This window comes from Homo sapiens, chromosome 6 (assembly GCF_000001405.40).
Source record: "Homo sapiens chromosome 6, GRCh38.p14 Primary Assembly".
Classification (NCBI taxonomy): Eukaryota; Metazoa; Chordata; class Mammalia; order Primates; family Hominidae; genus Homo; species Homo sapiens.
Genome location: NC_000006.12, coordinates 114,031,763 through 114,059,075, shown reverse-complemented (window position 1 = coordinate 114,059,075; position 27,313 = coordinate 114,031,763). Strand labels below are relative to the sequence as shown.

Sequence of the window (27,313 nt, the reverse complement as noted above, 5' to 3'; positions counted from 1 at the left end):
CAGGATAATACTGAAGTGGAAATCCTCCTGTCTGGCTATATCCATTGCACTCCTTCCTTAATGAGATTGAGTTCCTGATTTTAATGGGCTTGGCAATGAGGGCTTGAGGCTTCTGGCCCTGTCAAGGTCTTGTTGATGCCTGGTCCCAGGTGTGGTAGGTGATATACAGCACTTGCTGATGGCAATTGGGTTTGATTCTATATTCAGCAAAGTGGATATATAATCCTGACCTCTTTAGATAGAAAGAGAAAGAGAGGCAGAAGAAATATAGTATTCTTCTGGCTATCCTCAAGGCCCAGGGCAGAGAGTCTCAGAATGAAAATCTCAGCAAGTTCCAAGATTGGAATTTTGCAGGTTGATGATGCAAACAGCCCGGGGCAGAAACTGGGACCTCCTTTCAGATTATATCTCAAAGATTTTCAAGAGCCATCTGAGTGCTGCCGAGCTGCAAGAAAATAATACCACACAAAATGTGAAACACATGGCCTCCCTGCTACCCTTCCACCTCCCAGCTGAAGATTATAATCTCCTGCCTTTCACTTTTTCTTAATGATTTTAACTGGTGAGCTGTTAAAAAGCTATTAGTATGGCTGGTGCCACTTGTCTATCCTGTACTGCAAACAGAAGTACACGCCGTAGTCAATTAAGTGCTTGGAGAATAAAAAATTTTAAGGAGCACTAATAAAAAAATTCATCAATTATGTGTGCTCCATTTAATACATGGTTGCTTAAAATAAAATTTCCCAAACATATGTTCATTATGGATTGCAGCAGGCTGGGAACCAGTGGCTTTATTTATGCATTTAAAGTCTTGGTCTGACTGGGGAACCAGAAAAATGAAAAGTTAGTTGCAATGAGCTTAAAGTGTCTCTGTCTTGCTTGCAGGCTACAACCCATTTGCCCCATTGAAGGTCGACTGGGTGGAGCCCGCACTCAGGCTGAATTCCCACTTCGCGCCCTGCAGTTTAAGCGTGGCCTGCTGCACGAGTTCCGGAAGGGCAACGCTTCCAAGGAGCAGGTTCGCCTCCATGACCTGGTCCAGCAGCTCCCCAAGGCCATTATCATTGGGGTGAGGAAAGGAGGCACAAGGGCCCTGCTTGAAATGCTGAACCTACATCCGGCAGTAGTCAAAGCCTCTCAAGAAATCCACTTTTTTGATAATGATGAGAATTATGGTAAGGGCATTGAGTGGTATAGGAAAAAGATGCCTTTTTCCTACCCTCAGCAAATCACAATTGAAAAGAGCCCAGCATATTTTATCACAGAGGAGGTTCCAGAAAGGATTTACAAAATGAACTCATCCATCAAGTTGTTGATCATTGTCAGGGAGCCAACCACAAGAGCTATTTCTGATTATACTCAGGTGCTAGAGGGGAAGGAGAGGAAGAACAAAACTTATTACAAGTTTGAGAAGCTGGCCATAGACCCTAATACATGCGAAGTGAACACAAAATACAAAGCAGTAAGAACCAGCATCTACACCAAACATCTGGAAAGGTGGTTGAAATACTTTCCAATTGAGCAATTTCATGTCGTCGATGGAGATCGCCTCATCACGGAACCTCTGCCAGAACTTCAGCTCGTGGAGAAGTTCCTAAATCTGCCTCCAAGGATAAGTCAATACAATTTATACTTCAATGCTACCAGAGGGTTTTACTGCTTGCGGTTTAATATTATCTTTAATAAGTGCCTGGCGGGCAGCAAGGGGCGCATTCATCCAGAGGTGGACCCCTCTGTCATTACTAAATTGCGCAAATTCTTTCATCCTTTTAATCAAAAATTTTACCAGATCACTGGGAGGACATTGAACTGGCCCTAAAATAATATGTCATACAACACTATGTGTTGTGCCTGGAGACACACAATGTCTCCTGTAGATTAAAATATGCACTTTTCCTAGGCAGAGCTATCCAAGTCATTTTTCCATGTATATTTGTACATACGCAGTGTGTGACCAAATATAAGATCAGTTCTTTTTCTACTGAAAATTTACGAAAAAAAAAAAATTGCTGTCTGCATAGTCGCATCTTTTAAGCTATTTACAAAAGAGAAGAGGTGGTGGTATTGGGGGAAAGTGACTTCAGCTATTCTCAAAGAGTTAGTCTTCCTTTGATTCAGAATTTGTCACCCGCCATTTTCATAGATTTAAGCCAAAAGATAAATGTGTGAAAATGTACCAATGGCTGCGAAGCTTCAGGAAGTAGAGGATCCAGTGATGCATTTTTTTTTTCCTAAGGGAAAGCTGGCTCTTTAATTCAGATGCTGAATTGGTGCCATGAAAACAGAAAATGCTATTTTCTTATTATTTAAAAGAACGTCTTATCTCATAAAATTGACATTGTTCCAAAGTTCTTGTGGTGATTTTGCACTATTGTTTTCTCGTATGGACCATGGTGTCACTTGTAGCATGTCAATCACACATTGGAAAGTCAAGTCCTTTTACTTCCATGTTGTATGTCAACAGAGAGAAATGTCATGTACATAATGTATATTGTTGTAAATACTGGTTTCACACTAAGTAATTCTATTTTGTAAACTGAATATGGCTATTTAATTTATTGTGAAAATTAAATTTATTGTGGTATTTAAAAATGGAATGGATTAAAATTACTCTATGTGCAATTTTTTTTTTTTTTACTCATTTTGTTTTACGTGCCCCCTGCTGGCTTCCAAAATGGAAGCTGTTTACGTGCATATGAGAGCACTTGGAAAGATGTGCTTCCCTGCTGGATTTCTGTACCCCAGTGAAAATGTATTTATGAAGTGAGGTTGAGTATATTAAAAAAGAAAAACCTCAACCATCTGGAAATCAAGTATAATAGCCACCTCAAAGAACCCTAGTGCTGCTCTGCTACAACTTTGTAACAATTAATTTACTCGCAGTTGCTGCTGCTCAGGAAGAGAGACAAGGAATATTTTAACAGAATCAAGGCATAGAAGAATCACCATTTTATTTGAACCTCTAATCAGAGTCAGACCAGTAGAGAAATTAAATAAGATTAGAAAACTCTGTACTGAAAGCTGCTGATGCTTCAAAAATGAAAACAAGATCTCACAACTCTCCCTGTTAGTTGAAAATATATCAATTTGCTCTGAAAGGATTCAGCTGCCTAGTGTTGCCATTACTAACATAAACATATGGCTCATATTTCCATCCAGAGAAATTAATGCTAAATTGGTGCCTCGCTAACATCAGATACACTGTATTATGCTTAAATATATTCAGTAAAATGTGGAAAGGGGTATTAACAACGACAACAAAAAGATGGATTTTTTTTTTCTCACAATCACAGTTGCTAATCCAGTGGGAGATGTTTGAGAGAGTTTTGTTCAACATCACAGTGAGAGTGCCTAGGGAAATCAGAAAATTACAATGGATTCCCCTTTGATTGTAATAAGTGTTGATTTTCTCCATGAGTTGTTTATCCTGTCTAGTGATTTGATGGTGAACTTTTCTAAATAAATAGCCCTTTCCCCTCCGGTGTCGGTATATATTGCTTCTCAAGCCAGCGCCTTGGTAATCATCTCTATTGTCTGAATGAGCAGTGATGCTGTACTCTCAGCTTGAAACAGGCATGACACCAATACATGCTGGCAGGCCAGCTCCTCCCTTACTGTGGGATGACACTAGAATGAGAGCCTCAGGTCTAAATGTCAGCCACTTCTCCCCTAAGCCATGAATGAAGTCAATATAAGGATCCTGCAGTCAGATTTCTCTGGGCCTCAACTCTCTGCTAACCATCAGTATAAACTATTTGAATACAATGTTCAAGGACACAATCACTGTATTATCATTAATTTCATAGAAGTATTCCTAGAGCGCTATACAGCCAATATGATTTTGTGCCAGTAACTGTCAAATTATGCTCCATTGGAACACGGATGTTTCAAAAACTCAGACCAGGTATTCAATCAGTAAAATAAAAAAATGGTAATCTTTTCCCAGATTCACAGAGGAATAAAAAAAAGTTAATAAATTGAAATTTCTCCGTAATCATCTTTTATGTTACCAATTTTTCTTAGACTTTGCTACTGCTACCAATAGTGTATATCAGACTTTATTCTAAGATTCTATTTGACTTATGCCAACTTTTATCTCAATAAGCCAGTATTTCTTCAAATTCAGGGGCAGGAGGGGGGAAGCACTGTGATTTCAGTTGTTCTACTTCCTAAGTAAATTTGAGAATTGTTTTAAATCTTTAAGCCTCCCCACGGAGATCTAAAGCAAGGGCCTATGTTGGGAGAATTTTTTGGGTGGCAGGTTCTATTTCACTGAAAAAAACAGTCACAGCCACTGCTGATTGAGCTAGGTAGGGAGAAATAAAAATGCTATGATTTAATAGCATAACACTCGTGGAGATTTTAAACCTACTTGTTTAGAAAAATGTTTCCTGTTATCAGACAGACAACAGAACTCTAGAGAAATCTTCACCTCATTACAATAGCTCCACGAGGGCTCTCTTTAATAAGTTACTTCTTTTATGTCATAAACACCTTGCATGTTTTCAAGAGGCACAGTGGAACCATACAGCTTTGTGGAACAGTTCTAGCTGCAAAGAGAAAAATTGTTTAAGCAATGGCGGGGTTTCTGCTGGACCATAAAGCTAAAATTACACCATTTCTGGAAGCCAAGGAATTCCAGTTACAATTAAACAAATAGCCCAAGGGATGGAGAGAGACTAAGGATCAGAGAGATTTTAGATTTTAGAATAGTAAAATAAACCCATAGATACACATCCTGAAATTCCAAGTCTATCTCCTACCCACCTGAAACCACTGCATATAAACCCTTAATTAATTAAGGCACTAAACTTTTCTTAATAATTGCAATGTAGAATAACAGAAGCCCAAGACATTTTGGTTCTGAGTTAATATATGATCAAGCAAAGGCTTGTAAACTCTTATGAGGTTTATAATCCCATCTGATCTTAGATGTGGTACCTTTTATGTTGATGGAGCAGTGACAAGTCATAATTGGCAGCCCAGTTCCTCCTCATGAGTGTTTCATGGGCGTGCTTCCTGGAATGCTGCCCCTGAAATGAAGGCTCTTCTGGAAGACAAGCTTCAAGGCCTGTGGGGGGCATCACCTGGGACACTGCAGATGCACTGCTTCTCAGGGAAGGTGAGAACCAGGGACAAGTGCAGTTCAAATTCCATCCCTGCTGAGAAGATTTGCTTGGTCCAGAGAGCTGTTTGCTAAATCAAATTGCCTTCATAAGCCTAATTTGAGAATTTTCCAGCAATGGAGAATCTCAAATGATTGTAGAATCTTCCCACTGAAATCTTTTATACTCTTTCCACACACTCAGCAGCCATTTTCCACTAAAAATAGTCTACAGTCTAGGAAAGAAAGAAAAACATTCCCCCTCAAAATTACTAAATACAGAAAAATCCTAGCAATTTGGGATAACGAGGTGAAAATATAAAATATTTTCAAACAAATTCATTGCAATTATTGCCAAGTAGACAAAGCACCAAACCGGGAGGCCGAGTAGGCAGATCACGAGTTCAGGAGTTCGAGACCAGCTTGACTAACATGGGGAAATCCTGTCTCTACTAAAAATACAGAAATTAGCTGGGTGTGGTGGCACGTGCCTGTAATCCCAGCTACTCAGCAGGCTGAGGCAGGAGAATCGCTTGAACTCGGGAGGTGGAGGTTGCAGTGAGCCGAGATTGCGCCACTGCACTCCAGCCTGGGTGACAGAGCGAGACTCCATCTCAAAAAAAAAAAAAGAAAGAAAAGAAAAATATCCAATTGTGCCTGCTTTGCCAAATCAAAGCCTCTTAATTGGCATATTGGATTTTTTTTCCAAACTGGTATTATTCAAGTATTTCAAAATAGTCTGTTCTCTTAAGTAGGTTATTCAAGCCCCCTAGCATCTGTCAATTTTTACAGCACACCTTTCTTTTATAGCTCGTGTAAGAGTGAAATTTAGTCCAAAATATGATCATTTGGTAAGGTTCTAATTAACGATGCCTTACTATACATCTTATAAAAACAATTTCTTTACATTTGAGCTTTCAAAAAATTCTTTTCAGTTACATTTTATTGCACCTTTTAGGAATAAGAGTGCTATTTCATAATGATTAGAAACAGATTGAGGAGTTGAAAGGCAGAACTGAACTGATAGCAATACGCAGCTCCCATAGAAAGTGCCTGACTGGTATTTCAAAAACAAGTGTCTGTTATTTAAAGATAGTTCAGTTGAAAAGCAGTACCCTTTCAGTCATATCAAGTACCATGGCTGGTACTTGATCAGGCTAGATCTATTGATGAATTTATGAACCACATCAGTCTACCAGGTTTGCGGGAGGTGTTGGTAAAAGGCTTTATTGTTTCTAAAGATATGTGTCACCCCCTCTCAAAAACAGTCTGTCAAGAAGGTGAGTGTCTCCTAATAGATGGGTAGCACCATTTCAAAAAGGTAGCTTACCTTACACATATCTAAATGCACATGTCTCTGCTTTGCATTTCCATTTCTTTGATGACACCAGAGAACATCCTTAAGGCCAACTCTAAAACTGCCTGTTTCCTTGGTAAAGCCTCAAGAAGACTCACCTAAAGGTTTGGGCGTAAATTATAAAAGAAGTTGTAATTGCTACGTGATCAGGTAATCCAACACTAGGTCCTGTAAATAAACTTAATATGACTCTTTAAAGGTGAGACTCTCTAGCAACGCCAGATGATCATGTTGCCATACCAAGTAGAACTAGTGAGTCACAGTTCAGAAACTGTAGGAGAAATAAATAAATAACTCAGCCTGGAAGAATCAGAGAAGGCTTCCATGAGGCACATTTGAAGATCATAATATCTCACCAGGCAGACAAACAGGAAAAGCATACTCTAGGATGAGGGAAACAATACAGCAAAAGCACAAAGTGTGAAAAAGACTAGCATATCCAGTATAGCTGGAGAGTAGGTCATAAGAGAAGGTGGAATGTAAGAATGGAAACTGCAACAGAGCTTCCTAGGCCCTGAGCGAGTCCTTCCACCATAGCCTTGAGGGGACCCTGCTAGATAGCAGGCCAGGCCATCATGCTGAGTCTACACCCGGCTGATCCTTAGAGGCTGAGGGTTCAATATTGGAAAAGAGATGATAAAATTAATAAGCCGAAGGTTATCTTTCAAAGAGAAAAAAAAAAAATCACATGATTGGTGCCCATAGAATCATCATTTTCCTTCCCATTCTGCTTCACTCTTCTCTTTGCTTCTCTCACTTCCCTTCATGGCCAGTAGCTTTGCTGCAGCTGATGGGATCCTCCATATTTGGCTCATTTTTCTCCTGAGATTGAGGAAAAAGTGTTTCTGTGGGTATACTGACCATGGAAGAGTCATATTGTCTCCTTGCCACTGAGCTTCTCACTAAAACTTCACCCATCCTGAGACTATAACAGGAGACATAGGAATGAAAAGAAAAACAAACACAATATTCTCCTGCAAGATAGGTGTTGAGTGTTCTCAAAAAAAAAAAAAAAAAAAAAGCCAGGAAACATATTCATTTCATTACAAATAAAGCAAATAAAGTCATGCATCACTTAATGACAGGCATATGTTCTAAGAAATGCATCATTAGGTAATTTTGTAATTGTGTGAACAATATAAGAGTGTACTTACACAAACCTGGATGGTATAGCCTGCTAGACACCTAGGCTATATGGTATAGCCTATCACTCCTAGGCTACAAGCCTGTACAGCATGTTACTATATTGAATTCTGCAGGCAATTGTAACACAATGATAAAGATCTGTCTATCTAAACACATCTAAACATAGAAAAGGAACAGTGCAAATATATAAAAAATTGTTAAATGCTACACCTGTACAGTTAGGGCACTTATCATGAATAGAACTTGCAGAACTGGAAATTGCTGTAGGCATCAGTGAGTAAGTGGCGAGTAAATGTGAAGGCCTAGGACATTGCTCTACACTACTGTAGATTTTATATATAAACACTGTACACTTAGGCTACACTAAACTTATAAAAGAATATTTTTCTTTCTTCAATAATAAATTAACATTAGCTTACTGTAATTTTTTATAAAATTTTTAATTTTTTCTTTTTGACTCTTTTGTAATAACACCCACCTTAAAACACAAACAACACATTGTACAGCTGTACAAAAATATTTTCTTTCTTTATATCCTTATTCTATAAGCTTTTTTCTACTTCTAAATTTTCTCATTCTTTCACTTTTTAAGCTTTTTTTGTTAAAAACTAAGACATAAATATATACATTAGCCTAGGCCTACACAGAATAAGGATCATCAATATCACTGTCTTCCACCTCCAGATCTTGTTCCACGGGAAGGTCTTCAGGGGCAATAACAGGCATGGAGCTGTCATCTCTTATGATAACAATGCTTTCTTCTGGAATACTCCTGAAGGACCTGCCTAAGGCTGTTTTCCAGTTATTTTTTTTTAATAAGTAGAAGGAGAACACTCTAAAATAATGATAAAAAGTAAATACACAAACCAGCAACATAGTCATTTATTATCATTGTCAAGTATTATATACTGTACATAATTGCATGTTCTATACTTTGATACACCTGGCAGCACAGTTGGTTTGTTTCTATCAGCATCACCACAAATGTAATGCATTGTGCTACAACATTATGATGGCTACGAGGTCACAAGGCAATAGGAATTTTTCAGCTCCATTACAATCTTATGGGACCACCTGTCATATATGAGGTCCATTGTAGACCCAAAAATATCATTATGTGGCATATCACTGTATAAGCTAAACTTTCAGGATGAAATGGGCAAGCCATTTTGTCTTTTTGAGCTTCCCATTAAATAGGAAAATCAGAACAGGGAATTTTTATGCTCCTTCTTATGACATTATATCATTCCATGAAAGGGATTATTGGAGCATTTCTTGTGACACTGAACGTCCACAGAGTCAGGGCATGAAGGTGGAGGAGGAAGGAGGGGCCTCTACTGTACTTGTGCAAATGATCTCTCCAAAAAACGTTGTCTATGATTTTGCCTTTAAGGGCTCTTCTTTGTCACCACTCCCTTGCAACTAAACTTTCGTTTATTCAACCTTATTCTCAACTTTGGTTTCTAGTTTACCTATCCCTTCCCACATTAATTAACCTTTGCCACACAGCCAACCATCCCCCCAAAATTTAATTTAGTTCACAATTCTGTTGTTCAGCTGGACAATTCTTCTGTTCTGGCCCAGCTTGTCTTCCCTCTGCTGGCCTCTTTCACATACCTGTGGTTTCTGCCGGGTCAGCTGCTGCCTGGATGATCTCAGGTGGCCTCATCTAAATGTCTGGTGGCTTGTGCTGCTTAGTGATTGGTGCTACCTCCCAGTGTTAGCTGTTGGCTTGATGACAAAGGTGCCTAGGTCACATGTATCTTCTCACTTAGTATATGCACCAGGCCTCTTCACATGGTAGTCAGAAAGGGCTTAAGAGTAGCAAGAGAAGGCAAGTCCCAGTGTGCAAGTACTTTTTAAGTATCCGCTTCCATCATGTTTGCAGTAGTCTCACTGGCCAAAGTATGTCATATGGCCAAGCTCAAAGTCCACATGAGAGGGGATTTCATAAGGGTGTGGATACAGGAAAGGAAAGGAAATCATTTTTTTAAAAATGTTTTGGCCAGGCATGGTGGCTCATGCCTGTAATCCCAGCACTGTGGGAGGCTGAGGCAGGCAGATCACAGGAGCTCAGGAGTTCAAGACCAGCCTGGGCAAAAGAATTTTTAAAAAATTAGCCAGGTGTGGTGGCATGTACCTGTAGCTACTCAGGAGGCTGAGGTGGGAGGATCACCTGAGACTAGGAGGCAGAGGTTGCAGAAGGCCAAGCTCATGCCTCTGCACTCCAGCCTGGGCAACAGATTAAGATCCTGTCTCAGAAAAAAAAAAAAAAAAAAAATTGAAGAGATGGAATCTCTCTTAGTTGCCTAGGCTGGTCTTGAATTCCTTACTTCAAGCAATCCTTCCCCCAACCTCAGCATGAGCTGCCATGCCCAATAAGACAGGAAATTATTGTGACCATTTTTACAAATAATCTATTGCACTTCAACCTTGACTTTATCATGATGAAAATTATAATATAGCAATAAACTTTATGTTTCTTAATTTTTAAAGAAATACATAATCTTAATAAGAAGAGTGGTAGGTAGAATAATGCCCTCCCTCAAAGATACCTACATCCTAATCTCGGGAACATGTGACTATGTTAGCTTACATTGCAAGAGGGACTTTGCAGATATGATGAAGTTAAGGGCCTTGAGATGAGGAGAGTATCAAGGATTATCTGGGTGGTCCTGATGTAATCATAAGGGTCCTTAAAGGTAGAAAAGTGAGGCAGTAAGGGGCAGTTAGTGGAATGATAAGAACTGAAGAATGGGTTTACACTTCAAGGACCTTCAGGGAGATGCAACAATGCTGGCTTTGATGATGTAAAGAAGGGGCTAGAAGCCAAGGAATGTGTGCAGCCTTTAGAAGCTGGAAAAGGCAAGGGGACAGCTTTCCCCCAGGGCCTCCAGAAGGGAACGTAGCCCTGCTAACAACTTGATTTCAGCCTGGTGAGACCTGTGTTGGATTTCTAAACCTACAGAAATGCAAGATAACAAGTTCATGTTGTTCTAAGCCACTAAATTTGTGTTGATTTATTACAGTAGCCATAGAAAACTAATACAAGAAGCAAGAGGAAATGGAGGGCTCACAAAATGTCGTGTTTAATCAGCTTATTCCCCTTCATCATGAATGGGTGATGAGGCAAGAGCCATCAATCACAAAGGACATTTCCGAACAATCCAAACAGAAGTCCTGAAGGATAGGAGAACCTTTGCAAATCCCTAAGACTGAACAGGCCTAGTGAATGCAGGCAGAGTGACCCTGCAGGACACAATCCCCTGGTGATGGAAACATGGAGTGAGCAAGCCTCATTTCTTCTGGGACACCTTCCCTGTAGCTCAGAGTAAAAAACAATTTTCATGCTAAATTTCAGATAAGTTTATGCAAAGTGCACATTACATGATATTTTTTAATATCCTTAACATTATGGCTTTTATGCTGAAAAGAGAAAACATTTCTTTTCTTCTTACAAATTTGTAGTATCTCACCTTGATCCAGAAAATCTGAAGTCCCCAAAGATCAGAGCCAGGAGCCTCCGTCTTTTCCCAAGTTGATCCCAAGATTTCCTCTAAATGGCATTGAAAATCATTCTATAGGAAAATAAAGACCTGAAATGCTTTTTCTTGGACTTAATGAAATTCAGAGGTATTTATTGATCATCTAATCATCTAATACATTCCTAGCTCCTGAAGAATTCATCAATTACTAAAAGTCACTAGGAAAACCAGTTAGGCGTGTGACCAGAATACAGCTCTCCAGAATTCCAGCCCAGGGCCACTTGTCAAGAAAAGTACGTAAGTAGTTCTATTTATTATTTATACCTGCAGACTTCCTAAATGGATTTGAGGTGGCAATTTTCTAATTAAAATGTGTTTCTAATCCCTTCCTAATCTCGTTTTATTGGGTACATTTTAATCCCTTGTACTTAACCTTGAATAGAAGCATGTACTGAATCTGTATAAAAATATGAATTAGCTGAGTGCAGTGGCACATGCCTATAATCCCAGCTACTTGGGAGGCTAAGGTGGGGGAACTGCTTGAACCCTAGAGTTCAAGATAAGCCTGAGCAACATAGCGAGACCTCATCTAAAAAATATATATATGTGTATAAATTAGCATTAAAATTAAGATGTACATCCATTTAATATACATGTAATATATATGAACACATATATTTTTATTTGTAAGCCTGTTGAAAGAAGCTAATAATAATGGTTCATCCTTGGACCAATTCAAACATTCTTTTGCTAACAATTACCCATCAAATTTACAGCTGCCTTTAAAAAATTATATTCCAAAGGTGTCACAGTCTAGCCAAACAAAGTAAGAATATATAAGAGAAAAAAAGAAAAACTCAATAAATTGATATTTCAAAAGCACATCAACCAATCTGGAAACAAATACTTTGACAAAAGAGGATAGCTTGTCTAAAGTGTCACTATATAGTATAAGAAGTTTCAACGGTAAAAGGCAGATGTCTTCTAATCCGAGGATACTGAAAGTGCTATTAGGAAGTATTATACATCCAACTATTGTGTGTGTGTGCATGTGATTTTCAGCAATTCTTTAACTGGTTCATCCCATTGTGATGATCACGTTACCTTTCATCTTGACCATCACTGCAAGTATTCCACCTTGAAATTGTATCAGGTTTCTCTGAAAGCACAATTAAATTTAAAGATAAATTTAAGAATAAAGTGTTTACTTAGTATTATTGCCTGCATCTATTGTGTTTGAGGTCTCCTTCATTAATATAAAGTGATAAATTAATAAGCATACAAACCCAAGCCTGAACCTCTGAGAACAGAGTCTTGATAACTTTCTCTGAGATCCTGAAACGTCCTTAGGAACTCTGAGCTAAAGATCCAAGCAATTACTGAAAACAAAAGGTGTTCGCGGTGAGGGGTCAGAATCATAGGGACAAAAGAACCCCAACACAGACACTCACTGACACCCATTATCAACTATGTTTATACTCACAGACGAACCAGCCAAATCCAGCCACGCAAACCATTATTTTGGATGAAGTTTGTTAAGTTGGTCAAATTATTGGTTACTACATGATCATCCTCAAAAAGTTACTCCAACCTTTCCAATATCTGTCTCAAATAATGTCTTTGAAATATCTGGAGAAAGAACTTAAGAATTCATCGTGTGAAATTAATTCTTTGTCAATCTCTTTGGCTGCCTCATGCCCCCAGCCACTGTAAATGTACTCCCAGAGCATTTCCAGGAGTCCTTGGGAACTTCTAAGCTCTGCTGACATACAAGCCAGTCAGCACTACACATCACCTGTCAAACATGGCTGCCCTCCTGCTGTGTGCCTCAATGTTTGTTCAGTACTACAGCCAATTCTGTTCAGGCAGTGTGGCTTCCCTAGTCAGGCATTGCGGCTTCCCTAGTCAGGCATTGCCACAGTCTCCAAATAACCAAAGACCAAAGACCAATGACAATGGGTGTGTGTGTGTGTGTGTGTGTGTGTGCACGCGCATATGTGTGTGCATGTGTGTGTTTATGGGGGCAGGTAATTCTTTCTCTCCTATGTAATATTCCCTTTGAAAAAGTACCAAAGCTACACTATAGTGATATATCAATAAAGCCACTCTTTCAGTTCCTATGTTCAGAATCTACCCCTGACCTTAATAGGGTCAGGCTGGAGTGGAAGACAAATCTGTGTAACAGACACCATGTTAAACTCGGAAGCTTATGATAGATGTTTAATAGACATTAATGGAGTGGGTGAATGAATCACTCTTTCATTATAATGACAAAGGCATTACTAGAGGGATAAACTTATCTGCTCTTTCTTCCCTTCGATTGGGTTCTCTGCCAAGAGAACCTAAAATTCTTTATGCAAATAGATTTCTGGTGACCAGTCCACCAAAGAGTCAGACATATCCCCTAGCAGTGAACACAGTGCAGGATTTTGCTGAGCTCCTGAATGCCCATTACACTTTTCATGCATTGTAAGACACAAACACAAAGAACCAAGGGCTAACTTGAAACTCTGCTCTTCAAAAGACTTCTCGTGCCAGGTACCAGCATGACATTTCAAGTCACTTTGTTCCTTTATGCCTTGTAATATACTACAGTGAGGTGGTAGATGTCGACTCCTATTTATGTAAGAGTCCTTTTCCCTTAATAACATGGATCCCTAAATTTTCTCTATTAAGCTGTTAAATTTTACATTTAATTAAGCATGAGTTAAAATTGTAAGTTTCCAAAACCATAACTCAAATAATAAATGAAGTGCCACCTTCATCATATTAAACCAATGTTCTGAATATTCATTGTTCAGGGTTTTATGATATTAAAAGTGAACATCTTAGTTCACTAGTGGTATGGAAGCTAGAGCTAGTTTTTGTTGTTGTTTTGACACGGAGTCTCGCTCTGTTGCTAGGCTGGAGTTCAGTGGCGCGATCTCAGCTCACTGCAACCTCCGCCTCCTGGGTCCAAGTGATGCTCCTGCCTCAACCTCCCAGGTAGCTAGGACTACAGGCATATGCCACCACGTCCAGCTAATATTTGTATTTTTAGTAGAGACAGTGTTTCATCATGTTGGCCAGGATGGTCTCGATCTCTTGACCTCGTGATCCGCCCGCCTCAGCCTCCCAAAGTGCTGGGACTGCAGGCGTGAGCCACTGTGCCCAGCCATTGTTGTTTTTAATTACACTTGAATTCTATCTTTTTTTGCATGTTAATGAATCTTAGCCTGGCAAAGTGCCAGACACAGTCCAGTGGACTCAAAGAGAAGCAGGCAGTTCATAGGACACAATGCCTCTGGAGAGTAATAGGGGTCTACATATACACAACTTCCCAGTCATAGATTAGGAGAAACACTCACTTTTATTTACTTTGACATATTTAGGAAATCACTATTAGACATTAATTAAAGAATGATTGAGACTAATTATTTGCACAAGGCTCTGTGTGTACAAATGAAATAATCAGACCATGGATGATCCACTTATTTCTACTCTCTAATGGCGGAAATAGCTGCAAACTGAAATTGTCATTCTCTGAGTCTAGTTATTATTGCACCTCAGTTGATTGGTTACATCATATAGACACAGGCAAATCTTTTAGGAACATACTTTAATGCATGAATAACTTTGGAAAATTCACCAAATGAAGAGGCAGCAGCTGTGAATAGATGAAAAATTCTTGGCCTGGATATCCACTTAAGTCAATAGCGATAGTTCTGTCTAGGTACGATGGATAATAAGGTTAACATCTACCCTCCAAACTGATTATTTCAGCATCTCACAGGTAATTCTGGCAGAGACTCAAAATAAATGTTTATGTCACTTCCCACCCTCATATGGCAGAGGAGAAAACTGGGATGCAGAAAGGTTCAATGACCTGCCTAAGCTCATACAACAGGTAATTACAAAGCTGGGAGCAGATCCCAGGGATTCAGATTCCCACCAGTCTAGGAACCCAGCTGTTCTTATCATATTTAGTCCATTGTTATTATTACACTTGGGAAGAGTGGCTGTTTGTGGCAATTCATGAGTTTAAAAAACAAGGTAGAGAGTAGGAAGGAGAGCTATGTCCACATCCTGAAAGTACCAGGTAGAACCCTTCAAAATCTGGGATTACAGCACACAGGCAGGGAACGGGGCTTCTCAAACCTTTTCATGCCACAGCACACATACTTATATGTGATAATATTTGTTTGCAACCTAAAGTACATACAAAGCTATTATTCCTGACCCTGGAGACTCTTTAGCTATCCAGACCCTGTCCAGATGCTCAGAGGGCATCAATTTATCCTCTGAGGACAACAATTTATCTTGGCACATTTCTAACCCATTCACAACTCACCCAGATACCTTGGACCATAAATAGGAAACCCTACCAGATCGTAATTATTCTTTTAATTATTAGAATTAAATGTAACAACTGAAATTACTGTGGCTTCTTGGCTTCCATTATTCTTCACTAAAGATCATATCAAGTAAAAAAAAAAAAAGTTTACAGAAGCTAAAAATATAAGGCTGTACCTGGTTTACAAAAAATTATCAAGAATCTCTGAAGTTCATTATTTGCTGAAAAATAGCTTCTGATGCAAAATAACTCCCAGAGAACACCATGGATGGTCTTACATATAGGCATTTAGTTCAGAGCCCATCATGAGAATGCAAGAAGGCCCATTTGTTCCAAGCCTCACATTGACAGAGTCCCAACTTTACAGCCGTGACATTATACCTCCAAATGAGATTATACTGTTCTCTTTGAAAAGCTCTGACACATACCACGTATTTTGACTTTTTTTAAAAATGTGCCTGGAATCTCAGAAAATATTGGTGGCCCTGGGCCTCTGAGCATCAACAATCCTCATACATATGGGACTAAACTCATTCATAACAGGATTGTTAATAGAGAAGTTGCCCTTTAGGTATTCATTTTGCTCTTCCTTGTCAATTCGATAGAGAAACAAAAGCATGGGATCCACAGGTCTGCAGGAGAATGTGCTTTTGAATAGAGCAAGTGCAAACGGGAGAAAAGGTACAGGAACACTAATCCACATTCCCATAGAAATGCTCAGGTTTCAATATTCCTTTTGAAAAAATGTAGCTTCTCTAGTAAGTTGGTCACACTCCAAGAGGAATTAAGCTTGAAAGATAACAGAACTTCAAAAGCCAAGTTGAAAAGACCAGACCTGAGGCAGTGAAGGGCATTCAGAAGAAAGAAGAGTTTTAACTCAGCTTTCAAAGCATGTTCTCCTTCCTCTTTGAAAGTTTCTGACACTTTCAGGGTTGCTGGAGATGTTCCCACCCATGACATCTTTCATCAGAAAAGCATGAAATAACAAAAATCTCTCTCCAGGTAGAATAGGGAGAAAAATGTGAAAGTAAGTTAAAGTAAGTTGCTTCTTGTTCCGCTTCTTCTTGAGCCTAACAAGTCATCTCCAAGAAAATTACTTGAGCCTTATCTCACTGCAAATTAGCAAGATGCAAATTCTACTATGTAGTGGAACTGAGGCCCCAAACGAGCGGTCCCCGAAAGGAAGCAGAGGCTGGTTGCCAGCCATGTGTTTCCATGACTCATTTTTCAGGACTGGCCAAAAAACGAAAAACAAAACAGCAACAAAACAGTCGGGAAAAACTAGAAGGTAAGAGTAAAATGTGTACTTAAGACTCAGTAATTACATCTGTGCCTTTTAAAGGCTAATTCCATTATCAGTAATCCCCTGTTGTTCTGCATTTACCTGGGTAACTCTGCTGATCCTTCACAGCTCAACTGAGAATCATTCCAATTACTACTGGGTGCCAGGCCAAGAGCTGAGCACAAGGAACATGATAATGATATGCACAGTGCAAGGTACCTACCTTCAAGGAGCTTTTGCCAGACTCAGTGCTGGGTGCATGGGACATGACGGTATGCAAGATGAGCCCCAATAAGCTGAGAATGGGTTGACTGCTAGGCATAAGAAATGTGACACAGGGAGACCCCATCTCTACAAAAAATAAAAAATAAATTAGCTGGCCGGGCGTGATGGCTCAGGCCTGTAATCCCAGCACTTTGGGAGGCCGAGGCAGGCGGATCACGAGGTCAGGAGTTCGAGACCATCCTGGCCAACATGGTGAAACCCCATCTCTACTAAAAACACCAAAATTATCTGGGCTTGGTGGTGCATGCCTGTAATCCCAGCTACTTGGGAGGCTGAGGCAGAAGAATCACTTGAACCAGGGAGTCGGAGGTTGCAGTGAGCCGAGATTGTGCCACAGCACTCCAGCCTGGTGACAGAGCAAAACTCCATCTCAAAAATAAATAAATAAATAAACAAATTAGCTGGGTATGGTGCTTCATGCCTGTAGTTCCAGCTCCTCGGGAGGCTGAGGCAGGGGGATTCCTCGAGCCCAAGAGTCCAAGGCTGCAGTGAGCTAGGATCACACCACTGTACTCCAGCCTGGGTGACAGAGCAAGACCCTGTCTCTTAAAAAAAGAGAGAAATGTGACAATGTGCACAATACAAGATTGCTGCTCATAAAGAAATGTGTGCCAGGCTCAATATGGGCAAAATTATGGTACACGATGCAAGAGGCCACACCTCCAGGGGCTGCTTTCCTTGAACCCTGGCCTAATCATTGCTTTCAGAACCCCCATTTATACCCTGATAAACACCAACATTTTTGAATGAAATATTTTCAGTGCCTATTTCCCCCAATGACTATAAGCACATTGAGGGCATTAATTATAACTTGTTTATGCTTGTATCCCTGGCACCACACACAGTGACTGCAAAAAAACAAAACAACCGCCACCAATTTCAACACAGATGTGTGTAGCACTGAGCCAAATTACTCAATTTCTGCTCAAGAAAGGTCAATGAGGTTTTAAAGGAACAGCTTATCTGCTAACATCTACGTAGTATTTTTACATCAATATTCATGAGTGATATTGGTCTGTCTTTATCTGGCTTATACAGCAGTGTTATACTTGCTTCACAGAAGGAGTTGGAGAGGTTTCTTTCCTTTTCAGTGCTCTAGATCAGGAATCAGCACATTTTTCTGTATAATAGGTCAGACAGTAAATATTTTAGGCTTTGTGGTCCATATAGTCTCTGTTGAAAGTTTCAACTTTGCCCCAAAGCAGCCATGTACAATGAGGAAACAAGTAGGGTGGCTGTGTTCCAATTAAACTTTATAAAAAATAAAACAGGTTGCTGGGGCTGAATTTGGTCAGTGGCTGATATCTACTCTGGAATAATTTATACACCACTTGAACCATGTGGTCTTCAAAGGGTTGAAAAATGCTATAGACTAAATGTTTATGTCCATGTAAAATTCATATGTTAAAGCCTAATCCCCAATGTGATTCTGTTACAAGGTGGGGCCTTTGGGACATGATTAGTTCGTGGGGGCAGAACCCTCATGAATGGAATTAGTGCCTTTGTAAAAGAGACTCCAGAGAGCTGCTGTGCTCCATTTGCATGTAAGGGCCCAAGAAGAAGGTGCCATTTATGAACCAGGATGTAGGCCCTCACCTGACACAAATGTTCTAGGACCTTGATCTTGGACTTCCCAGCCACCAAATCTATGAGAAATAAATCTGTGTTTTTCATAAGCCACCCAGTGTGGTATTCTGTTATAGCAGCCTGAATGGACTAAGACACTAGAGGAATGCCTGATCTTAATGGAAAAGCCTCTAGTGTTTTCCCATTAAAAAAGATCACGAAATGTTGCAGGTTCATCTTGTATTTTCGTTACCTTAGTTCTGGAATAAACCATGTCTCCAAGGAGGCAGTGGCATACTGTTTTAGTTACAGAGTGTTTATAGTGTATTTTTGATATCTAGTAGAAGTAGTTCCCCTTGTGGTTTTACTGTTTTCCTATTTTGTGACAGAATCTTTCTTGGCTGAGCCAACCACAGAAGAACAGAGAAGACTAAAAGGGTGTGTGACCCAAAGTCAGACTTGCCACAGGGACAGTGGGTGCAAGGAGGAAGCGCAGCTTATCAGGCCAAATGTGGAAGCTAGTAGCTTGAGCATGGCAATATTGTGACCATGGGTTCCAGCATGTGCTCATGTCTGTGGGTCCTGGCATGTGGTCAGGGAGGCTGAGAGTTTAACACTAGTGACATAAGGCTCCAGCAGCAGTGAATCCAGGTGCAAGAGAAATCTTGAGACCGACACATGCTGGGTAGCAACTGGTTAACAACGGTCCCTACAGAGGAAGGTTAGCCTGGTAAGGACAAGGCAAAGCCCTCACTGCAGAGGCTCAGGGTCCCAAGACAGCGACCCAGTAGAAGGATCAAGGCAGATCTGTTTGGTAGAGCTGCCAGGCATCTGGGGAAGAGACTGAGATGCCAAAATAAGCCCTAAGATGAGTTACCAGAACTGGAGCTCAGGGCACAGCTGGACATGCACCAAATGGGGTTTAGGGTGAACTCAAATATCAGGCTAGAGCTCCTAAGTCCCTCCTGACTAATGTCCCAATTAGTCCCAGAGTGTCCAAGTAGAGCCGATTACTCTGGCTTTGAAGTAAGGAAGGAGAGCAATCTTGGAAATAATCAAGGTCAGACAGTGGACTGAGTTTTGGGGGTTGTCCTCGATTAGCCAAATGACCTTGGGCAGACCACTTTACCTCTCTGGGCCACCAACGGAATTGAATGAAATTATGTCTAAAGTTCTGTTTACTTCTAAAAGGCTAATTAATTAAACCATTTGAGAGCAAAAGGAACTTGTATTTCACCAGCGCATTCCGTGTGCCATGCACTCTGCCAGTCATTTTACATACATTAAAGGGAGGGAAACTAGTGTTTTATGTTACCAGTGGCATGTTGGTAAATGTTTAACCAACATTTTTGGTTAGCCAAATGCAAACCAGCTCTCTTGTGGGTGGAGAGGGCCCTGATTTGTAGCATTTGCTAATGTCTGTGGTATAAATACTCCCATCATAGTTTCAAGCTACCACCATGTAGTTACTGAATGCAGGGCTGGGAAGAAATATGCCATGGAACACCATAATATGCCATTTCTATCACACAGAAACAATCCATGTAAAAAACCTTAGAGCGGCTGGGCGCGGTGGTTCACTCCTGTAATCCCAGCACTTTGGGATGCCAAGGCAGGTGGATCATGAGGTCAGGAGTTTGAGACCAGTCTGGCCAACATAGTGAAACCCCGTCTCCACTAAAAATACAAAAAATTAGCAGGGTGTGGTGGTGTGCGCCTGTAACCCCAGCTGCTCAGGAGGCTGAGGCAGGAGAATCACGTAAACCAGGAGGCAGAGGTTGCAGTGAGCCGAGATCACACCATTGCACTCCAGCCCAGGTGACAGTGCGAGACTCCATCTCAAAAAAAAAAAAATCCTTAAGGTATAGATATTAGTAAAATGCAATAAAATTATTAGTAAGTGATAAGCTTTAAGTATTCATTACATTTATTTTTAATATAATTTATTTAACTACAAATATATATAATTTAATTTTGCATAATGCCCGTGTTTAACAACTGGCTCTCAAAATTTCCAATTTATCAATCGGTTTTTGAGAGCTTGTATACATCACCTATAACATACCACTGACTGTTACCTATTGTCTGCCAGTCACCATGATTGGCATTTTAGATACATTCTTTCATTAACCCTCACTGTACCCTTCTGGAATAGCTATTATTTTACAGATGAATAAAATATCTCAGAAAGATTAAATAAATTGCCTGGATTCACATAGCTAAAGTCTGGTTGTATGACCTCCACCCCCTAAATCTCCATATTCAATTATACTGCACAGCCATTCATATAACAGAAATTTGCTTTTAAACTGTTTTATCCTTTATCCAAGATAATAGATTGTGTTCCACATAAGCTGGGGTCCTTTAAATTCAGTGAGTCTGAACATCGATGTATGTGCTTGAGTTCATTGACACTGAGTAGTCTAGTTACAGAAAATACCATTAAGCTGGATAAGAAACCCAATGTTAGGCAGGACTTAAACCATATGGAGGATGATCATGGGGAGCTGATTACGCCATATTAAGTCTTCCACCCAGAGGCACTAGAATCACTTCAACCTCTTATCTCATTTTCCTTAAGTTAATTTCAACTCAACAAAACTAATTCCTTTTTAAGCAAGTTTCTTTTTTTGCACAATGAACCTAAAGGTAGAATATCCAATAACATTTCAACCACTATTTTCAACTAACTCATAATAATTGTTACTGTTGTAATTTTTGTGCCAAAACAATTTGTTAATGTTTTGTAAGTTTTGTTTCTTCTTACAACATAACAGGATGGTATTTTTTTCATTATTAAGAGAATATTAGTCACTGTAATCAAACCCACATAGATAAGACCTTACATATTTAATACAAGGGTTACTCCTGTACAAATGGAAATAAATTAAGTTTAATGTTACTACACAAATATGGTTGTTAATTTATGTACAATGTCAACTCAACATGGTAAACTGGGATACTTTTTCCAAAGTTTACAGTACAGCTAAAGTTTCCAAAAATTCAAATTATATGTATATATATAATTATATGTATAATTGTACAAACATAATTATATATAATTATAATTATATATATTTATATAAAAAGACCAATAATAGCAGCATGTTATGCATCAATAGCAGCAACAACTTGTCCAGGTTCTGCAGTCATCTGAACAAAATATAGAGACACCCAGCACACTCCATTTAAAGAAAAGGGGAAAAAAAAGTAAAAACCAAAATCCCAGAAAATTGCAAAGTTCTGTTACTATTGTGGTACCTGGCACCATTTTTTTAAATTAGCTTCAGAATCATTATCTGGAAGGAAAACATTCTAGAATAACATTATTTAAAACAACTTTGATAAAGCATGGTCACTACTATGTACCATAAAGCTGGTACAAGATATTCTGCATTCACAGAGGTATGATACAGTACTGTCCTACATCTATATTACTAGAAGATACAATTAAAAAGGCATTATTTCAGACTTGATTCTACTTTCCTAGGAGAGGGCCCAAAGGATGGTATGACACAGCTCTGTAAAGAAATGCTCCTTCTTAGGATTTCCTTTCATTAGCAGCACAGTTCTAGGTACTCACTGTTCCTCATGAACATCAACTAAGAACTGTTTTTTAAAAAAACAGGCCACATTTTCTTTATCCAGTCTATCATTAATGGAAATTTAGGTGGATTCCATCTATTTATTTATTGTGAATAGTGCTGCAATGAACATAGGCATGCACGTGTCTTTATAAAAGAATAATTTATATTCTTTTGGGTATATACCCAGTAATGGGATTGCTAGGTCAAATGGTATTTCTGTCTTTAGGTATTTGAGGAATTGCCAAACTATCTTCCACAATGGCTGAACTAATTTATACTCCCACCAAGGGTGTATAAGTATTCCTTTTTCTCGACAACCTTGTCAGCATCTGTTGTTTTTTGGACTTTTTAATATTAGTTATTCTGACTGGTGTGAGATGGCATCTCATTGTGGTTTTGATTTGCATTTTTCTAAGATCAGAGATATTGAACTTTTTTTCATATGATTGTTGACTGCATGTATGTCTTCTTTTGAAACTGTCTGTTCATGTCCTTTGCCCACTTTTTTATGGGGTTGATTTTTTCTTGTAAATTTGTTTAAGTTCCGTATCGATGGGGGATACTAGACTTTTGTTGGAGGCATAGTTCGCAAAAATTTACTCCCACTCTGTAAGTTGTCTGTTTACTCTGTTGATAGTTTCTTTTGCTGTGCAGAAGCTTTTTAGTTTAATTAGATTCCATTTGTCAACTTTTTATTTTTCTTACAATTGCTTTTGGTGCCTTCATCATGAAATCTTTGCCCATGCCTGTGTCCTGAATGGTATTGCCTAGGTTGTCTTCCACGGTTTTTATAGTTTTGGGTTTTGTGTTTATGCCTTTAATTGATCTTGAGTTAATTTTTGTTTATGGTGTAAGGAAGGGGTCTAGTTTCAATCTTCGATGTATGGCTGGCCAGTTATCCCAGCACCATTTATTGAATAGGGAATCCTTTGCCCATTGCTTGTTTTTGTGAGGTTTGTTGAAGTTCAGATAGTTGTAGGTGTGTGTTTTTATTTCTGAGTTCTCTATTCTGTTTCATTGGTCTATGTGTCTGTTTTTTTTATTTATTTATTTTTGATCTTAACATTTTAATATGTGTATTTTGATTTTATTAAGAAGCACATTCAAACTTCTCAGCCAGGAATAAGAGAATCAAAGATAATTCAAAGTTTTTTTAAAAGCAGTACCACCCCAGAAAAATAGACTTTAGCTTTCATAACTGCATCCAAGCCATTCAATAATAAGCTAAAGTGTACATATGTGACTCTTCAGGATCTGAAAGCTGCCAGTTTGCCTTCCTACGTATCAGACACTTTTCTCTAATTAATCTTTTTTTAAATTATTATACTTTAAGTTCTAGGGCACTTGTGCACAACGTGCTGGTTTGTTACATAGGTATACATGTGCCATGTTGGTTTGCTACACTCATTAACTTGTCATTTACATTAGGTATTTCTCCTAATGCTATTCCTCCCCCTGCCCCCACCCCACGACAGGCCCTGGGGTGGGATGTTCCCCGCCTTGTGTCCAAGCATTCTCATTGTTCAATTCCCACCTATGAGTGAGAACATGTAGTGTTTGGTTTTCTGTCCTTGTGATAGTTTGCTGAGAATGATGGTTTGAAGCTTCAGCCATGTCCCTACAAAGGACATGAACTCATCCTTTTTTATGGCTGCATAGTATTTTACTCTTTTCTCAATAGCCCCAATAACATCAACTATTTTACCCTATTTTATATCTTTCCTCACTCCATCCCTCCATTATGTCCTCTATTTCAATGCAAAAAAAAAAACCTCCTATATATATAAAAGTGCATCATGAAAGATACAGAACAGAATAACAGTTCTCTAGCCCTTGCTCAATGCGCTCTCTATCCCTTCAGTCACTCATTTCTTGGCCTCCCCTGAAGTGGTAGGCACTGTGCCAGGCTCTGGGCACATTGAGATCAAAGACACATATCCACGCTCCTTTTCTGTTTTCCATGTACTCCCTTACTGAATGCCAGAAGAGAAATGGAGAAGAGCAAGGAGGAAATGAGAGAATCAGAGAGAGAATAAAAGAAGGGTATAACTGAAGGTAGGGGACAGAGAAGCAGGAACAGTGAAGATAAGAGGAAACACATTCAATATTAGGTTAGGCTTCTAGGCTGCACACATTCTGTAGAGCTTCCTGTGTGGTCCCTGAAGCAAACAAAAAGGGAAAAATAACATTATGAATTGATGCCATCATAACTCAGGACAAAAGGGGCTGATGATGAATGATGGAAGAGAATCTTCCACTTTATTTCATATATTTGTTTTATTTAAAAGATCTATAAAGAAGAATTTAGCAATTTGAAGATGAAGTTTAGGAATGATTACCCAAGAAACCTTTCCTGTATACTGCTGAAGAGATTGGTTTCAGCATCTTCATAATGTTCCTTCCTACTAAGTAATACAAATAATACAAATAATAATTTAAAATAATAGTCACTGACATTGAGGGCTTATTATGTGACAAACCCTGTTCTAAAGACTTTATATGCATTGTTTCTCCCAACAAGCCTATGAAACAGGAACTATTTTATTACCCTAACTTTATAGTTAACTGAAGAACAAAGAGATTACTAATTCGTGTAATAGTTTTGTATTATTCTAAAGATAAACTCCAGGTCCCTTAGGATTTCAATCAGGGCCCTCCACAATCTGGTTCTAAATACCTTTCAAAATTAGGTCCTACTCCTAACTGACAAAAATAGCACTATAAGGTTCCTAGCATGTCTTCTTGCTTTCTTGACTGTAAGCTTCACTCCAACCACTGTTTCCATCCAAAATGCCTTCTGCCTATCCTTTGCCTATTTGAATCTTTCCCATCATTCAAAACTCAGCTGTAGTGTCAACTCTTTTATGGAGACATCTCTGACCAATCTCACCCAATGACCTTGCCCTCCTCTGAATTCACAACTCACTCTTACAAATACTATCTTTTAACTTCTCTTGACTTATTGTCTTATATTATCATTTAAATGACCATAATTGGATTTTTGTTTCTCCAACTAGCATGTTAACTTGGTATAAATCATGTCTCCATAATGTATCCACAGTGCCTAGCTAAGTTCTCAGTATGCATAGTTATCATCAATGACTTTTTTGTTAAAGTAATGTATTGTGTAGCATATACAGAGATTATTCATGTCATTAGAATGTATTCTATTCTTCTTGGAGCCACACTTCACATACCTTCAGCATGAAAAATGTTCATATGCCCAAAGATTACATCCATTCTGGTAAGAAGAATTGATACAATTTATCTATTAATCAGAATATTTACTACTCCAACCCATATTTTATTGTATTTTCATATTCTATAAAAAACAGAATACTAAAAAAAAATCCCACTTTAAACAAACTGGTTATTTGAGAAATAATACTGAGAAAACTTGCAACTTAGACAAGAAATAAGAAATTAAATTGATTTTCTTTTAATAATGTACAAAACCAAAGGTCAGGCAATTGTAAGACAGGTAGAATGTCCTACTCTATTGGACTCATATTTTTGTGGTTGTTTTTGTTTTTGAGAAGGAGTCTCGATCTGTTGCCCAGGCTGGATTGCAATGGCATAATCTTGGCTCACTGCAACCTCTGCCTCCCTGGTTCAAGTGATTCTCCTGCGTCAGCCTCCTGAGCGAGCAGCTGGGACTACAGGAACCCACTACCATGCCTAACTAATTTTTGTATTTTTAGTATAGATGGGGTTTCACCATGTTGCCCAGGCTGGTCTCGAACTCCTGACCTCAAGTGATCTGCCCACCTCAGCCTCCCAAAGTGCTGGGATTACAGGCATGAGCCACCACTCCCAGCTTACTGCACTCATTTTTAATAACCTTAAAGATCCCTGGAAAAGGAGAGGTTACAAACATCTAAATTTAAATAAATATATATATATATATTTTAATGGTTAGTGAATTAGGAAGTTTGGAAAACTTTCAGGACAGTAGTTCACAGCTTTCTGAACGTACTTAAATGAGGTGGAAACTGACAAAATTGAATTGTTTTGGAAAACTTGCCCAAGGCAGACAAGGAACAGATGGAAGGATTATGCCAAGGAACATATCACATGCTACTTAACTCGTTTGGGGACGGACTGTTAGGCTAAAGATGAGAAGAAAAAACAAACAAACATTTAACTCCAAATGAAAGAAACAACCTAGCTGCTTTCAATGCACTCTGCCTGACTTTATTTCAAACCTCTCTTTAGGAATCAGTACATCAGTTTTTTCGAAAAGGCAGTGAAAACCATCTCCATGTCCCTCACAGGCTGATTTGCTCATAAAACAAGAGAATGAACAAGACTGCAGTGTCAACATTTACTGTCACCTTATCGAAATTAGTGTTGTCATTTTATTATTTATTTATTTATTTATTTATTTTTGAGACGGAGTTTCACACTGTTGCCTGGGCTGGAGTGCAATGGCACGATCTCGGCTCACTGCAACCTCCGCCTCCCCGGTTCAAGTGATTCTCCTGCCTCAATCTTCCAAGTAACTGAGATTACAGGCACCTGCCACCATGCCCGGCTAATTTTTTGCATTTTTAGTAGAAACGGGGTTTCACTATGTTGGCCAGGCTCGTCTCAAATGCCTGGCCTCATAATCCACTCGCCTCCGCCTCGCAAAGTGCTGGGATTACAGGTGTGAGCCACTGTGCCCGGCCAGTCATTTTTAAAAGTCCTGATTAAGCCAGGCGCGGTAGCTCATGCCTGTAATCCCAACACTTTGGGAGGCCAAGGTGGGCAGACCACTTGATCCCAGGAGTTCATTGAGACCAGCCTGGGCAACCTATTGAAATCCCATCTCTACCAAAAAAGATACAAAAATCAGTTGGGCCTGGTGTTGCACACCTATGATCTCAGCCTCTCTGGAGGCTGAGGTGGGAGAACTGCTTGAGCCCAGGAGGCAAAGGTTGCAGTGAGCCAAGATTGCAGCATTGCACTCCAGCCTGGGTGAGAGAGTGAAAGCCTGTCTCAGATAAAAAATAAAAAGTCCTGATTAGAAAAATTCTTAGCACAACACTTAAACACCAAGGTGATTTAATTGGAATAACATTAGCCAAGAATTCAGGAAAAATTCTTGAGGAATTGAAATTAGATAACAATAACAACGGATCAAGAATGCTCTAGATTCAGAAAGTTGTGGACTGGCTAGTTTAACT

At 39.2% G+C, this 27,313-nt stretch overlaps 1 protein-coding gene and 1 long non-coding RNA gene across 13 annotated transcripts in view; one reads left to right on the top strand and one right to left on the bottom strand.

Moving 5' to 3' along the window:
- HS3ST5 (heparan sulfate-glucosamine 3-sulfotransferase 5) overlaps positions 1-3,480 on the top strand; it is a 287,428-nt gene extending 283,948 nt beyond the window's left edge. For all 12 annotated transcript variants that reach the window (NM_001387040.1, NM_001387046.1, NM_001387041.1 and 9 more), the window contains one exon: positions 886-3,480. In NM_001387040.1, the coding sequence (NP_001373969.1) occupies positions 886-1,819 (934 nt within the window). In that variant the 3' untranslated portion in view covers positions 1,820-3,480. The remainder of the gene's footprint in view (positions 1-885) is intronic.
- The window catches only part of HDAC2-AS2 (HDAC2 and HS3ST5 antisense RNA 2), a 371,029-nt gene that overhangs the window by 281,654 nt on the left and 62,062 nt on the right, over positions 1-27,313 (bottom strand). The gene's annotated exons all lie outside the window — the stretch shown is intronic.